This window comes from Homo sapiens, chromosome 10 (assembly GCF_000001405.40).
Source record: "Homo sapiens chromosome 10, GRCh38.p14 Primary Assembly".
Lineage (NCBI taxonomy): Eukaryota > Metazoa > Chordata > Mammalia > Primates > Hominidae > Homo > Homo sapiens.
This window is the reverse complement of record NC_000010.11, coordinates 15,366,876-15,382,786: the sequence shown is the minus strand read 5'-3', so window position 1 is coordinate 15,382,786 and position 15,911 is coordinate 15,366,876. Positions and strand designations below refer to the sequence as shown.

At 46.5% G+C, this 15,911-nt stretch overlaps 1 protein-coding gene across 2 annotated transcripts in view, besides 5 other annotated features; it reads left to right on the top strand.

Moving 5' to 3' along the window:
- Positions 1,011-1,211: a silencer, noted in NCBI's record as "peak874 fragment used in MPRA reporter construct". NCBI's record gives its function as "represses an SCP1 promoter by STARR-seq MPRAs in K562 erythroleukemia cells {active_cell/tissue: K562}" and the evidence as "EXISTENCE:reporter gene assay evidence [ECO:0000049][PMID:32103011]".
- Positions 3,923-4,217: a silencer, noted in NCBI's record as "tiled region #1502; K562 Repressive non-DNase unmatched - State 13:Ctcf". NCBI's record gives its function as "represses a minimal TATA promoter and a strong SV40 promoter by Sharpr-MPRA in K562 cells {active_cell/tissue: K562}" and the evidence as "EXISTENCE:reporter gene assay evidence [ECO:0000049][PMID:27701403]".
- Positions 8,233-15,911, top strand: part of FAM171A1 (family with sequence similarity 171 member A1) — a 162,912-nt gene continuing 155,233 nt past the window's right edge. Inside the window, exon 1 of one of the 2 annotated variants that reach the window (XM_017015904.2) lies at positions 8,233-8,279. In XM_017015904.2, the coding sequence (XP_016871393.1) occupies positions 8,270-8,279 (10 nt within the window). In that variant the 5' untranslated portion in view covers positions 8,233-8,269. Of the gene's footprint in view, positions 8,280-11,497; positions 11,832-15,911 lie in introns of those variants that run through there. The other variant, NM_001010924.2, reaches the window with a different exon arrangement.
- Positions 8,372-8,471: a silencer, noted in NCBI's record as "silent region_2173". NCBI's record gives its function as "represses an Ori minimal core promoter by ATAC-STARR-seq in GM12878 lymphoblastoid cells {active_cell/tissue: GM12878}" and the evidence as "EXISTENCE:reporter gene assay evidence [ECO:0000049][PMID:35858748]".
- Positions 11,452-11,501: a silencer, noted in NCBI's record as "silent region_2172". NCBI's record gives its function as "represses an Ori minimal core promoter by ATAC-STARR-seq in GM12878 lymphoblastoid cells {active_cell/tissue: GM12878}" and the evidence as "EXISTENCE:reporter gene assay evidence [ECO:0000049][PMID:35858748]".
- Positions 11,512-11,741: a silencer, noted in NCBI's record as "silent region_2171". NCBI's record gives its function as "represses an Ori minimal core promoter by ATAC-STARR-seq in GM12878 lymphoblastoid cells {active_cell/tissue: GM12878}" and the evidence as "EXISTENCE:reporter gene assay evidence [ECO:0000049][PMID:35858748]".

The window sequence follows — 15,911 nt, the reverse complement described above, 5'->3', positions numbered from 1 at the left end:
CTGGGTAGATGGAGTGAAGGAGGCATTGCCTATGACTTACAGAGTGGTGAATCAAAAATATTTATTTGAAAGAAAATACCTTTAATTGCACAAAATGTTGCTGTTATATAATACTTTTCTTTAAATAGAGTAGAATGAATAAGATCATATATGTACCAACATCTACTTTTCCACGTGACAATTAACATTTGGTCTGAATTGTTACTTATCAATGAAGTCTATTTATGCCAGCCAATAGGTATGTCAGTGGCATTACTGAAAGTCAACTTCGGACCAGGCACAGTGGCTCACACCTGTAATCCCAGTACTTTGGGAGGCCAAGCCGGGTGGATGACTTGAGTTCAGGAGTTTGAGATCAGCCTGGCCAACAGGGTGAAACCCTGTCTCTACTAAAAATACAAAAAATTAGCCAGGCCCCTGGTGGCACGTGCCTGTAATCCCAGCTACTTGGGAGGTCGAGGAGGGAGAATCGCTGGAACCCAGGAGGCAGAGGTTGCAGTGAGCCAAAATCGCACCAGTGCAATGCAGCCTGGGAGACAGAGCAAAACTCCATCAAGAAAAAAAAAAAAAAAAGAAAAAGACAGTAAACTTTGGGCAGGGCATTGTTGAGATGTTGAGGAAGCCATAGAGATGGAGTAAAAGATGGTCCCTTTATGAGGTTGGCAGTAGGGAAGAAAGGACCTTGATGTGTAAAAGATACCAAAGTCATATTTTCAGATACACTGTTTTGAGTTTATTATTATTTAAAATTGTGGTTTCACTCTGTCACCCAGGCTGGAGTGCAGTGGTACGATCATAGCTTACTGCAGCCTTGAACTCCTGGGCTCCAGCGATCCTCCTGCCTCAGCCTCCTGGGTAGCTGGGAATACAGGCACACACCACCACATCTGGCTAAGTTTTTAAATTTTTCATGGAGACACATCTCGCTATGTTGCCTAGGCTGGTCTCAAACTCTGATCTCAAGGGATCCTCCTGCCTTGGCCTCCCAAAGTGCCGGGATTACAGGAATGAACACGTGGTTCTTTTGAGTTTATTTTAAATGACTGAGGGATGCCCACTTTTAAGGAGAAGGTTCTAGAGAGTTACTGCATACACAAACCTTTACACTAAATACTGATGTCAGAACCCAAGAATAGTGTACTTTCAGAGGTCAAAAGTTTATGCAAACATTCCTAGATAGCAGTGCTGGACGTTATGGTTTTTGAGCATTAGAGACAGACCGCCTGCATTTTAGGCAATGTGGACCCCACCTCAGTTTAGAATCTGGCTAGATATCTTTTCTATACATGGTCTAACCTGAATGTATAAAGCAGTTATTTCCAACAAGTGGCAACCTGTCATGACACTAACTGTACAAGCAGTTAATGCACAGAATGAGCCTTACCTGCCAGAGATCACAGAGATCTATGGAGGTCACAGCACAGGTGTGACTTGAAGGACGAGAAGGAATGGGGAAGGCAGACCAGGAAGAAGGGGGACATCGGCAAAGACCCCAAAGTGGGAAAACTCAAGGTCAATTCAGGGCTCAAGATGTGCTGCCTGCTTATCTGAAGTAGCGTCTCTGCGATGAGCTCAGACTAAAGAGGGTCTTTGGTTACCTTTTTAAACTTTGGGCCCATAATGAGGACTCAAGAAATACTTGCTGGGTTGTTAATTAATCCAGTGTAGCAGAGATTTGTTTTTTAGAAGAGTCTCACTCTCTCACCCAGGCTCGAGTGCAGTGGCACAATCTCCACTCAGTGAAACCTCGATCTCCGAGGCTCAAGTGATCCTCCCGCCTCAGCCTCCTGAGTGGCTGGGACCACAGACATGCACCACCATGCCCAGGTAATTTTTGTAATTTTTGTAGAGATGGGGTCTGTCTGTGTTGCCCAGGCTGGTCTTGAGCTCAGAGGCATGTGCAGATTAACTGGAAGGAAATATTTCTTCAAGGTTAGGCATAATTTTCCACTTTGGCTGAAGCTATTGAGCATCTACTCTGTGCCAAACGTTTTTTCTGGGTGTTGGGAATATGGCAGAGAGTGAGGCAAAAGCCCTGCCCTCATGGAGCTGATGTTTTAGTACAGGTCAGGGAAGCAGACTGCAAGAAGCTGAATAAACAAGTGAACAATGAAGAGCATCTTAGACAGTGAGATTGTTAGGAAGACCATAGAGTGATATCACATAACCGGGAGGAGGAGGGTTACTTTAGATAGGGTGGCCAGGAGGATTTCTTTTTTTTTTTTTTTTTTTTTTGAGACAGAATCACACTCTGTCATCCATGCTAGAGTGCAGTGGTGCAATCATAGCTTACTGCAGCGTTAAACTCCTGGGCTCAAGGGATCCTCCCACCTTAGCCTCCCAAGTAACTGGGACCACAGGTGCAAGATACTGTGTCTGGCTAATTAAAACAATTTTTTTTTTTTTTTTTTTTTTTTTTTTTTTTGGAGAGAGGAGGTCTCACTTTGTTTCCTAGGCTGTTCTTGAACTCCTGGGATCAAGTGATCCTCCTTCCTCTGTCTCCCAAATTTTACAAAAGTGACATCATCAAACTAAAGGTCTGAAGGAATATTGGACTCATAAGTACCCCTACCACACTACACACAAGGGCCCAAGAGGACCTTTAGTGCCAGAGCACACCTTTGTTGTCAGGTCTGGAGGTACCTCCTTTAGGGCAGATGCTAAAAGAGCCTGTTCCTCCCTTCTGCAAAGGTAGCCAGTATCACCCAGACTAGCTGAGCGATCTTTGGCGCTCCATCATCCTGCTCTAATTTTCCACTTTCTTACCTGAGAAATGGTGGGAATGGGCCAGTTCCTTCAAATTCTTTTGAGTTCTAGCATCCTGGGATTCCATGATCCCTATCATTGCTTATCATGTTCAGAAATGCGGGAAAGGCCAGGCTCGGTGGCTCACACCTGTAATCCCAGCACTTTTGGAGGCTGAGGTGGGCGGATCACCTGAGGTCAGAAGTTTGGGACAAGCCTGGCCAGCATTGTGAAACCCTGTCTCTACTAAAAATACAAAAATTAGCTGGGCGTGGTGGCGCATGCCTGTTGTAATCCCACATGCTCAGGAGGCTGAGGCAGGAAAATTGCTTAAACCCAGGAGGTAGAGGTTTCAGTGAGCCGAGATCGTGCCATTGCACTCCAGCCTGGGTGACAAGCGTAAGACTCTGTTTCAAAAAAAAAAAAAAAAAAAAAAAACAGGAAGAAAAGAAAAGAAAAGCAAGAAAGATACTAGAGCCATCATAAAGGGACCACGGGGTATTTGCAGTTGTCTTGGTACCTAGAACTGGGGTGATAGACAAGATGCAGTATGCAACCACTAGACTCGGAGGCTCTGGGGAGATAGGAGCTGGCGTTCAGAATCGGTGCCTGCTTCTTCCCTGTGCCATCTTGTGCTCCAGACGTTGGATTTTTTCCCCCTTCTTAATGACATTTCCAGACTTCCTCACAGCTAGGCTTCTGGGTGGGAGTCAGGTTCTGCCAAGTGGATGCTCTTGGTAGAGATTTGGAAAGCAAAGAGAGACAAGACTGTCTCCCTGCTGCAGGATGTGCTGGGCTTTTCTGCAGGGTTAGCTTCCCTGTGTCTAATCACTAGCAGGGAGGGTGGCAGGAGCCTGGCTTCCTGATCCCTGGCCTCAGCAAGAGTGCAGGCTCCTAAGTGAAACCTCTGCAGGCCAGGTGCCCTGGCTCACGCCTGTAATACCAGCACTTTGGGAGGCCAAGGCGGGTGGATCGCTTGAGGCCAGGAGTTCGAGACCAGTTGGGAAACATAGTGAAACCCCATCTCTACTAAAAATGCCAAAAAATTAGCCAGCCATTGTGGCATTCGCCTGTAGTCCCAGCTACTCAGGAAGCTGAAGAAGGAGAATCGCTTGAATCGGGGAGGCAGAGGCTGCAGTGAGCCAAGATCACACCACTGGACTCCAGCTTGGGTAACAGAGTGAGACTCCGTCTCGAAAAAAAAAAAGTAAAACCTCTGAAGCACAACCCAGCTTCCCAGCCTTCCTGACTGGGGCACAGGAGCAGCACCCCAGGATCCCAGGAGAGGGGGCTGTTCTGGAAGATTTTCCTAGAGCCCCTCCTCTGTCCCCTTCGCAGATTTTTGTAAGCACCTAATTCCCTGTAGAATGTGTAAGAAGCTAGAGAGGTTTCTCTTTCCATCACATGAGCCCTTACTGATGGAGGTGCTAACCTATGTTCAGAAAAAGCAAAATCTCTTTCAGACTGTGGTGATTAAGTTTTAAATGTACTACCCAGGCATGGTAGCTCACATCTGTAATCCAAGAACTTTTGAAGGCTGAGGCAGGAGGATCACTTGAGCCCAGAAGTTTGAGACCAGCCCGGGCTACATAGTAAGACCCCGCTCTACGAAAAATTTAAAAAATTTAGCCAGGCATGGTGGAGTAGTCCCAGCAACTGCAGAGGCTAAGGTGGGAGGATTGCTTAAGCCCAGGAGTTCAAGGCTGCGGCGAGCTATGATTGCACCACCGCACCCCAACGTGGGCAACAAAACAAGACCCCATCTCGAAAAAAAAAAAAAGAGGTACTACTTACATCTTTATTTCCAAATCAGTAGAAGACTCACAGTTCCCAGGAATGCAGCTCCATACATAAAGGACCTCTGCTTACCCCAAGACTCTCAGGAATACAATTGTCCTTCAGCAAAAGTATAAATAGGCTTCAGGTATATTTAGATTGGTACTATTTGCCCTACATTCAAACACATTACTGGGCAGAGGAGTTAACAACCAGTATTTATAACATTAAATGAGAAATGCCACTGACTTACAAATAAACATTCGAGACAGAAAATCCATTTGTAAAACCAAGGACTCAAATTTGTGCATAAGGCCAGATGTTTCAAGGATTATGAGGGACTGATTATTTTTTTCTCCTCTTTCTTTTTTGAGGAAAACCATTGGTTTTCACCTCGTGCTTCCCAACAGGAAAGCAGGAAATCTGGGCCAATTTTTATTATTTTTTTTTTTTGTTGTCGTTTTGTCTCCTTTTTGGCTTACTTTCTGAAGATTTTATTAATAGAAGAATACAGTTATAAAATACTAACTGACATTTTTATGAAACTTTAAAATATGTACCAATGAAGTTCCTCTTGTCCACTAAAGTCTCAGGCTAAAGAAAAGATAGTAGGCCAGGTCTGGCAGTTCACATCTCTAATCCCAGCATTTTGGGAGGCCAAGGAAGGAGGATTGCTTGAGGCCACTAGTTCAAGTCCAGCCTAGGCAAAATAGCAAGACTCTCATGTCTACAAATTTTGTTTTCAGTTAGCTGGGTGTGGTGGTGCACACCTGTAGTCCCAGTTACTTGGGAGGCTGAAGTGGGAGGATCACTTGAGCCCAGGAGTTTGAGGTTATAGTGAGCTATGATTATACCACTGTACTCCAGCCTGGGTGACAGAGTGAGACCCTGTCTCAAAAAACAGGCAAGGGGGAAGCTAGTAGAAAATGACACCAGCAGCCAAAGCACTCCTGGTTAAGACTCATTTTTACACAAATGGCTCTCCTAGGGCCGTATGTATTCAAAGTAAATGCATCTAAACGTATTGTATAATATGCCCAGAAAAATCATCTGTTCACCCCCATTTCCATTTTTATGGGGACTCCAATGAAGGATTCTCTTTGTTTAGTAATTAAACAGGACTAGGATATTAAGAGAAAGGTTCTGACAGTAGGCAGCTTTGAGTCAAAAGTATTATAATTAAACAGAAGAAATGAAAGGAAAAGAAAATAAAGTACCATGCAAAGATCGAACTTGAAAATTAATCGGAGATCAGCGGAATTTCTGAAACTTTCCCCCTGGTTGAGGTATAGTCAGCCACACAACAAAAGTTCAACTGATGCTAATTACCTTCTCCATTTTCTCCATTGTCTTCCTCTCTTTTCCCTAACTCTTTTAAGTTTTCTATGAAAAAAAAAAAAAAAAACAGAAACAAAAACAAAAAAAAACCCTGTCTTTTCTCTACCTTGCTTCATGTCCCTTTGTGCATTTCTGAAGGTAGACGCAGTAGTCACAGATAGACATTTTCCAGCAAGAACATGGACGCTTACGTCTTGCCTTGCACTTTTTGTCTATATGACAGTAAATTCAGTGGGTTAACTGGCTGGGCATGGTGGCTCACACCTGTAATCCCAGCACTTTGGGAGGCCGAAGTGGGTGGATCACTTGAGGTCAGGAGTTCAAGACCAGCCTGACCAACATGGTGAAACCCTAGCTCTACTAAAATTACAAAAAATTAGCCAGGCATGGTGGCACGTGCCTGTAATCCCAGTTACTTAGGAGACTGAGGCAGGAGAATCGCTTGAGCCCAGGAAACAGAGGTTGCGATGAGCCGAGATTGCGCCACTGTACTCCAGCCTGGGCGACAGAACAAGACGTTGTCTCAAAAAATAAAATAAAAAATAAATAAAAAATTCAATGGATCAGCAAAGAATAGAGCTGGAAACTTCTGCTTGCTCTAATGGAATGGGCTTGCCAAAAGAGCATATTGGCTTAAAATGAATTGCTGAGCAACTCAATTCTCCATTAGCCACTAGCCTCTGAATACTCTTTCCAAAAGCCAAACCTATTGATCAAGTGCCTGGGATGTGTCCCAGACTCCTTGAGTTACCAGAGGATGCACAAAGTAGAACTCTAAGACAGGGGATCTGAAATCACAGGACCAAATGGCGTAATCTGAAATTCAATCCTGCAGGCCGATGTACACTCTCAGCATCTCCCAAATAATTCAGAATTATTTCCTGAATAAGATGCCTCTCCTGGGACGGGCAAGGTGGCTCACGCCTGTAATCCTAGCACTTTGGGAGGCTGAGGCGGGTGGATCACTTGAAGTCAGGAGTTCGAGACCAGCCTGGCCAATATGGGGAAATCCCGTCTCTACTAAAAATACATAAAAATTAGCTGGGTGTGGTGGTACACGCCTGTAATCCCAGCTACTAGAAAGGCTGAGGCAGGAGAATCTCTTGAACCTGGGAGGTGGAGGTTGCAGTGAGCCGAAATCACGACACTGCACTTCAGCCTGGGTGACAGCGAGACTCCGCCTCAAAAAAAAAAAAAAAAAAAAAAAAAAAAGAAAAGCCTCTCCTGGCTGAAAACCTGTACGCGAGAAGTGAGGTTGTAGGAAAAAAACCGAAAGATGCTGTTGAAAGAAAGAGCTTGTTGGAAAGTCACAGAGATTGAAATATGAGGGCTGAACCACACAGAGGAAAAAGAGGAGGGTTGGGGATCACTTAAACACATCAGTCCCTTGACAGTAATTTTGTTACCTTATGTTTTGGTTTGTTTTTTCTTTTTTATATAGATGCGGATAGCTTCAAAAAAAATGCTGGGCTGTTAACAATTTCTATCTGTGGCTACATTCTATCTAACTTAAATAAAAGTGCCAGCAAACAGAAGTAGCAATGACCATGACATACTTCCTGACCTGTACAATCTCATAAAATTCTGTTGTTTACTGGAAGCTTCTTACTCAGGGGCAGACTGGGGGGCAGGGGCTAGGGGAAGAAAGGGAAGAAGGAAGAACAATACCTCTCCAAGCAAACCCAGACCATTAAAATTCCACCACGGGGTCGGACGCAGTGGCTTACGTCTGTAATCCCAGCACTTTGGGAGGCCAAGGCGGGCAGATCACCTGAGGTTGGGAGTTCAAGACCAGCCTGACTAACATGAAGAAACCTCATCTCTACTAAAAATACAAAATTAGCTGGGCGTGGTGGGGCATGCCTGTAATCCCAGCTACTCAGGAGGCTGATGCAGGAGAATCGCTTGAACCCAGGAGGCGAAGGTTGCAGTGAGCTGAGATTGCGCCATTGTACTCCAGCCTGGGCAAAAAGAGTGAAACTCTGTCTCAAAAAAAAAAAAAAAAAAATCCACCACGTGGGACCAACATCAGGAAATATTTCAATAGAATAAGTAATCTTGGGCTAAGAAACCTTGACACAGAGCCCCTGAAATCAAGGTCTCTGGAAAATTCAGACAGGAAAAGTTCTGTATGTGGCATGACTTTTTTTCTTTTTTTCTTTCTTTTTTTTTGGCACAGGCCTGGAAAATTGAAATCAAATGCTGCACAGTCAAGCAACTTCTAAGCAATTTCAAATAAGTACAGTCATAATTCATCTCTAGTCAAACAATGTGAGATTTTAGTAAGAGCAACAGGAAAAGTTCTACAGGGAAAGAACACTTCTAACTTCCATTGTTCTGCAAATACTCCTCCACAAGTAATTTTCTTCCCTTAGTTACTGAGTGGGTGTCTGATGATCATGATCGGAACATGAGAAAAGGTAAATCATATTTTTTATTCCTGTAAAGGATAAGTGTGATTATTTAATTCTTACATAATTCTGGCTACATGATATGCAAGTATGTTAATTTGAGTGATGTAGCAGAATCTGTGTTCCTTACAGCCTCCCACCCAGGTAACTGGAAAATACCCGGGTGATGAGATAATACTCTTTGGGGCCCCAGCCCTGTTTTTGGCTTTGAGACTGGCCTGCAGAATGTACTATGCAAATTGTTTAACCTCTTTCTCTTTCACAAGGGCATCTGCAAAATGGGATGGCAGCGGTGTTTCTGAAACTATTTAGACAAGACTCAGTGTTGCTATGAGGGTACATAAACTTCTCCTAAAGTTCCAATTCGTCCTGGAAAGTATTGTTATACACGATAATAACAACCACCTCCATCAGACCTGAGCGTCTCGCAGGGGTGTCCAAGGGAGAGAATACAGTCATGGGTTCTTCATTTCTATTTTTGGTTGAGCCAGTAAAGCCCCTTCCTCATCCCTCTTTTCCACTTATCACTAGAGATGGAAACTGAAAACGATGGCTTTAGGCTGCTAAAAGTCTAAAAACACAACAGCAACAACAACAACAAAATAAGGCAGGTTGGACAAGCTTGATACAGTTAAGATTGTGAACCCAACTTGATTCAGTTTATTAAGATTTCTTCCACCCTGAAACATTCTGGAACTCTATACTAAGATCACAAACACCAGTGTTTTGAGTGAACAATAAGACTTAGAAAAATGGCATAGAATGGGATTTTTTTTCTATTTTAAATATTTCCATCTGAAATAATTATAGACTCATAAAAAGTTACAAAAATAGTACAGAGAGGTCACATCTATCCTTCTCCCAGCTTCCCCCAATTGTAACATCTTATATAACTGTAGTACACTGTCAATGCCAGGAAATGAACATTGGCACCATAGTATTCACTAGATTTGCACTTCACTGGGATTAGAGCAGGTTCAAACAATTTGGACACTCCTGGAGGTAATTTGAATCATTTGCATAAAATTTATTCTCAGAAGTAACATGGTATAGGGAATTTACACTTATCAGATCTTTGTATTGTGGGCAAGTTGTTTAATGGCACCAAGCCTCGGTTTGTTCATCTGTGAAATGGAAACAATGATACCTACCAAATAAGTTGTTATGAGGAAATAGCTCCAGTTCAGTGAGTGCCATATATTAGGAACTTTGATGCCATATATTAGGCTTAGATGCAGGAATCAGAAGAAGGAGGGAATCCAGCAGTCCCTATTTCTTTCTGCCTTCCTGACTACCTGCCACCCTGTGCAGGTGCGTGATTTGCGCAAATTGCAGCATTGGTCCTAAGGGTGACTATAAAACCCATATGGGCTTCTGTACGTCCTAGTTTTTCTCATGTCTCACAGTCATTTGTCTTTTATAAGCCAACTGGGCAAGTGCCATCCTTCATTCTTTTTTTGGTACGGTGCCTGCCATGTCTAAATGCTCAATTAATGAAATTACAGTAATAACCCTCCTTCTGGCCTGGTGTTCTGGAAGCAGTGTGGGGTGGATGATGGGTCTGGAGTGGATTTTCCTAGGTCCCCAGTGGAAGTCGGAAGGTCACCGCAGTGCTAGTTGGAAGAGAAGGTGGAGAGGGACAAGTGGAGGTGAAGGTTGTGTGGAAGGCATACCGACAGGAGTGGGTTGAGAGAAAGAAAAGTTGAGGTTGGAATGGAGGGGGTCCCTAGGCTCAAGGAAAGTCTAGAGGTTTGGTTTTGTTTTGTGTGTGGTTTTTTTGGTGGTTTTATTTTTTGATTTTTTTTTTTTTTTTTTTTTGAGACGGGGTCTCAGTCTGTCATCCAGGCTGGAGTGCAGTGGCACGATCTTGGCTCACTGCAACCTCCCCACTCCCAGGTTCAAGCGATCCTCCCACCTCAGCCTCCTGAGTAGTTGGGACCACAGGCATGGGCCACTATGCCTGGTTAATTTTTTTGTATTTTTGGTAGAGACAGGGTTTCACCATGTTGGCCCAGCTGGTCTCTTAACTCCTGAACTCAGGCCATCCACCTACCTCAGCCTCCCAAAGTGTTGGGATTATAGGCATGAACCATCACACCCAGCCAAGTCTGGAGGTTTTTGTGAAGAGTTTCAATTTTGGGGTCAGACTGACTGTTTTATTAGAATTTTGGCTCTGCCACTGACCAGGTATGCACTTTTGGACAAATTCCTTAACCCTCTTTAGCCTCTTTTCTCATCTGTGAATGGGGGGGATAATGCTAACTACCTCTTAGATCATGTATTGTGAAGATGGACAAAGAGTCTCTGCTTGACCGAACTACAGTCAGGCTCCGGAACCTTCTTCTAGGCTCAGTTGTGCCCTTCCTTGTAAAATCTGCTTTCAGGAAGAACCCTGCTAAGTCAGTTTACCAAGAACCCTCCACCCTGGATATCTGATCAGCTTCCCCATCCGCCCTGTCCTGCCCAGCCCTGCCAGGGGATGTCTGACTTTCAAGAATCCCCCTTCCCCCTGATGTTTCCTCTTATAATTTTTCATTCCCTGCATCCCACCCTGGTCCTCGGTTATAAATCCCCACTTGTTCCTGCTGTATTCAGAGTTGAACCCAACCTTTCTCCCCGACTGCAGAATCCCATGGTAGGGCTTATACCTATTGCGATGGTTCCAAAGAGGGTCTTCTTTGCTGTGCTTTCACACGTGTCATGGAATAGTCTTTTTTCTTTAATAGGACAGAAAGTTTTAAAGCACCTAGGGCCTCAAAAGATGTGGATTTCCTCCCCACCCTAACCCCTAGAACCATCCAAGTACCATTCCTCCTGAAGCTGTCCACCCGCCAACACGTAGGTACTGCAGGCCTACTGCAGTCTATACTGGCTTGGGGAGTGTTTTTGCGGATCTTTAACACTGGGTGTGAAATCTACGTTGGGGGACACAACTACATTAGGATGGCACCTGGTGGGGGGGTCACACCCAGATACAATGTCTCCTGCGGCCCCTTGGGTGACCTGGTGTGATGAAAAGGGCTCCGCCCTGAAAGGCAGGTCTGGCTCTTCTGCGGGGCTGCGGGGATGGGGCGCGCCGGGGCAGTGTCGCCGGGGGTCGGGCTGGGGGCGCGACGCAGCGGCGCCGGGCGGGGGCGCCCTCGGCGCCGCAGCCGCCAGGTGGCACCACGGGCCCGGGGCCTGGGCGCGGGCAGCGGCGGCGGCGGCGGGCGAGGCAGGAAGGGGTTAAGGAGCTGGCGGAGCAGCAGCAGCCGCCGCCGCCGCCGCCGCCGCGGCTCTTCGGGGAAACCCGGCGCGGGGCGCGGGAGGGAGCGGCCGGGGCGGCGGGGCCGGGCCAATCGGGCGGCGGGCCCGGCGCGCGGAGCCAGCGACATGGAGGGGGGCGCGGCGCCCGGCCGCCCGTGACGCGCCGCCGCCCGGCCCGCTCTCGGCGAGCCCGAGCCGCCGCCGGCCCCGCGGCGGAGATGAGCAGGTCCGCGACGCTGCTGCTGTGCCTGCTGGGCTGCCACGTCTGGAAGGCGGTGACCAAGACGCTGCGGGAGCCCGGCGCCGGAGCCCAAGGTCAGTGGGCGGCGGCGGGGCCGGGGGCTTTGTGTCGCGCCGGGCCTGGCGCGGAGGCGGCGGCGGCGGCGGCGGCGGCGGGAGGGTCCCGGGCCGCGTGGTGGCGACGCAGCCCGAGCCGCATCGGGAGCCTCCGGGCCTGCAGCACCCGCAACGCGCTCCCGAGGGGGCGGCGCGGGCCGGCGACGCGGGGTGACCCGGGCGGAGGCTTCGGGGGCCGGGGATCGGGGGCTGGGTCGGGCGGGGGCGCGGGCAGCTCCAGCTGCTGTCGCCGCTGCGGCGGGGGCTCGTCTGGATGCGCCCGGGGGTCCCCTTTATGCCGCGCCTCGGACACGCGGCTCTGTCTCCCATGTCGCCGCGGACAGAGGGGCCGCCCAGGGCGCGCCGCCCGATCGCGCTCCCGGCTCCCCACGCCGGGCTCGGGTCTGGGAAGTCCCAGCTCCTGGGCTGCGCTGGGGCCTTTTGTTGTGGCGGGAGGGGGTGGCTGACGCCCCGGGGTGCCCCCTGTGTCCCGGGGCCCCGAGGTCCGCTGCCGCCACTAGCCACTAGCCTGCCGCAGTTTGGGAAAGTTTGGGGGGTTCTCTCCCCCTGCCTATCTGACGTCTCTTCCAGACCATAAGGGATTTGCTCAGCGGCCCATGAGTCTTCTCTGTAAGGGAAGAAAGAATTGAACTGGGAGGCCCTCATCGCTCACCAAAAAAAAAAAAAAAAAAAAGAAAAATCCTTTCCAGATCAGTTTGTCGCCAGCTCGTGCCTTTTGTCTCGTCTTTGGCCTCCACAAATCTGCTTTCCAGCCCTGGGAGTAACGTGGTCGCCTCTGAGAATGGCCACGAGCCTGTCTTTTGTTTTTAAAATCAGCGTTTTTTGAGGGGAGTCCCCCACACCCACCCTGAGGCTTGCTTGGCACATTTTTGTGGGGACAGCGTCGAGGACTCCTCTGTTGCTGGCGTTTTCAAAAGGGCCACTGAGGCCCGCAGATGAGCCTCTGCATTCACCCAGGGCACCGCTGCCTGGACTCTTGCCGGGGGCTCAGGTCTCTGCGAGGGAGCTCCCTGCAGCCCTGCAGAACCCCGGGATTCCGAGCCCGAGGCCTGTCCCCTCAGAAGGGTGTGTGTCCTGCAAAGTTGGCCCTGCAGGCCAAAGAAACGAGGAGTGCTGCATCCGAGGGTCTCCTTGCTGGAACCCCCTTTCCTCGGCTAACATGCTCAGGGTGCCTGGGAGCAGAGACGCCCGGGCTTCCACCACGATGTTGCTACGGGGAGGAAAGGCTCTGCCAACACTCTGTTGGGTTGAGTTTGTTGCCTACATGTTGAGTTGAAGGTTTTCATATTCTGGCACTTGCAGTATCATTTCCTGGTATATCTTAAATGCATTGCTGCTTCTATGGCCATGGTAGAATATGACCGTTATGAATTGTGTATAATTTTAGTAATGCATATCATGGAAGAGCGGACAGCTACAAAATACAAAAAGACCTATATGTCTCTTCGTGTAGGAAACGAATGTTTAGGACATTAGATCATCAGTGTTGCATTGCAGCTTCTTTTATTAATACCCTACTGCTTTTTTGAATCAGCTATTTTAGAGAATGATATTTGCACTTCAGCGAGGCCGTTAATTTTAAAGAGCAAGTTGAATTTTTCCTTTTGCACTTGAAATACCAATATATGGAAATATTAAATTCATGCACTTCTGAATTAGAGAAAGGAAGGCATGTCTTCAATATATATATATATATATATTCAATATATATATAACAGGTTTAGGTCTAAGACCACGTTTTACCCAGCTCTTGCTGCTAAAAATCCGCCTCTCAGGAATGGAATATTATGCGAAATGGGAGGGAAATGGTCAACATGAGAAGAGGTTTCTGCCATGGCTAGCAGTGGCTTAGTTTAGGGTATGGTTGGAGTGGGAGATCAAGTATCTTGGCATAGTTTACCCCTTGGATTACTTCCTTTGTTGTTATCTACTGTAAGGATGGCTTTTTAAAGCCTTGAGCCCAGGAACTCTTTCAGAAATCAGGTCTCACTACCTGGCATTTGGATTTTGAGCTAGCAGCATTTTTAAGGGAATGGACAATTTCTCCTTTGACATTAGAAGGTCAGTCCCAACTCACTGAGTTCTTCAAAGCATCTTAATGTTCACTTGCTGTAGTATGACGTAGTTTTAAAATTCATGTGTTCTCTGCTTTCCTGGATCATGTACACGATGAAGACAAATGCTGCATCTGATTTCACTTTGCATTTCCCACAGTGGGTTGTAGGTTGTTATGCATACAGTTGGTGCTCAGATGGTGCTGAGTAGGTAAGCATCAACCATAGCTAATACCTACACCATAACGCAACCTTTAGTGATCATCATTGGCTTGCATTTTAAGAAGAAAAGTTCAATGTTTACCTTCCCCAAAAGCTAATTTGTAAGAATCTTGCTTTTATGTAGAATCTGTTGTTTGAATCATTCTTTGAACAAGCATTGCACATACATATTATGCACCAACAGGATTTGGCAATTACTTTGGTAAAACTGCTTAGAGACCTCAAACAGACGGAAATCATATACTGTAGTAGTCCAACTAGATTGCTAGAACTAAATGACACCTTTTTGATTAAATGAGTCTTTATGTCATCTGATGAAACTAGCATCTGCAGAATTTCTTGGCATTACTTTGCTTTTTATATATTCAAGATAAAATTGGAGGCTTGGCTTCAGACTCTCTTCCCGTAGCTGCTTCGAATTGGCAAAGTGATTTCCAATGCCACAGTCAGTTGTCACGGTAAGGGTTGGCTTTGTTTATCATGAATTTGAACTAGCTCTAGACTATGACTATTTTTATTAAGTGTTTCCTCTCAGTTGCTCTGGAGCATTTATAGTATCGAATCTATTTTCTGGGAATTTTTCAAAATTGTTGTTCAAAAGTATTGACCCATTTTGATTTTCTTCACCTCTTTTGCAAAACTGTAATGAGGCTGGGTTCAATAGAGAGAGCTGTCCTGGAGGAGCAGTAAGCTGTGCAGATGTACTCTTTAGGGATGTGTTTTTGAAGCCCAGCACTCTTATTTATGTGCCAAAAGGAAGGTCAGAGCTAGGTTAAGAACTTCATGCTCAGACATCTTATTGGATGATGTTTATTTTGTCGCTGGATATCTAGCAGGTGTTTGAGGCAAACCCAGTGCTGAAAAGTGCAAGGTGTTTTGCGATGATGCGCTAGCTTTTTGCTCATCTCAGAAAAGCTGCAATCTGTTATAACATTTGAAGACAATGATTGGCTTTGTCTCTTCTCTAAGAGGTCTATTCTTTGCCAAACTCAAACTTCAGTTATTAGAACACTGGGATCTGTTGAAAGACCACGAAGCCATGTAAGGTATCAGGAGGATCATCCAACAAGCCTAACTTACGGTGACATTGTATTAAGAGCATGACTTCTAAATAAAACTCATGGGCTCACATCCTGGGAAACCGCAGGAGCTGGACTCACAGAGGCCGCTGGGCTTCCTTGCAAGCCAGGTGTGAGGGCTTTATGCAGGAGCAACAGTAACATCTAGGGAATTTCTGGAAAAGTCTTTGAAATGACTTCATGAATTATTTTTATATCTTATTTGTACTTGTCTATAATACTTTGTAACTTATAGGTTGTTACCTTAACATCCAAACCAAAAGAAGGAAAATAGTGCATGCATTTCTAAACAAATAGCTTTCAAGTATTAATACTTTCTCAGTTTTTGTGTGTGTGTTTGTTTGTTTGTTTGTTTGTTTTGAGATGGAGTCTCGCTCTGTCGCCCAGGCTGGAGTGCAGTGGCGTGATCTCAACTCACTGCAAGCTCCGCCTCCCAGGTTCACGCCATTCTCCTGCCTCAGTCTCCTGAGTAGCTGGGACTACAGGTGCCCGCCACCACGCCTGGCTATTTTTTTTGTATTTTTAGTAGATAAGGGGTTTCATCGTGTTAGCCAGAATGATCTCGATCTCCTGACCTTGTGATCCGCCTGCCTCAGCCTCCCAAAGTGCTGGGATTACAGGCATGAGCCACTGCACCCAGCCACTTTCTCAGTTTTAATCAATTCTTTATTTTAACCAAATTA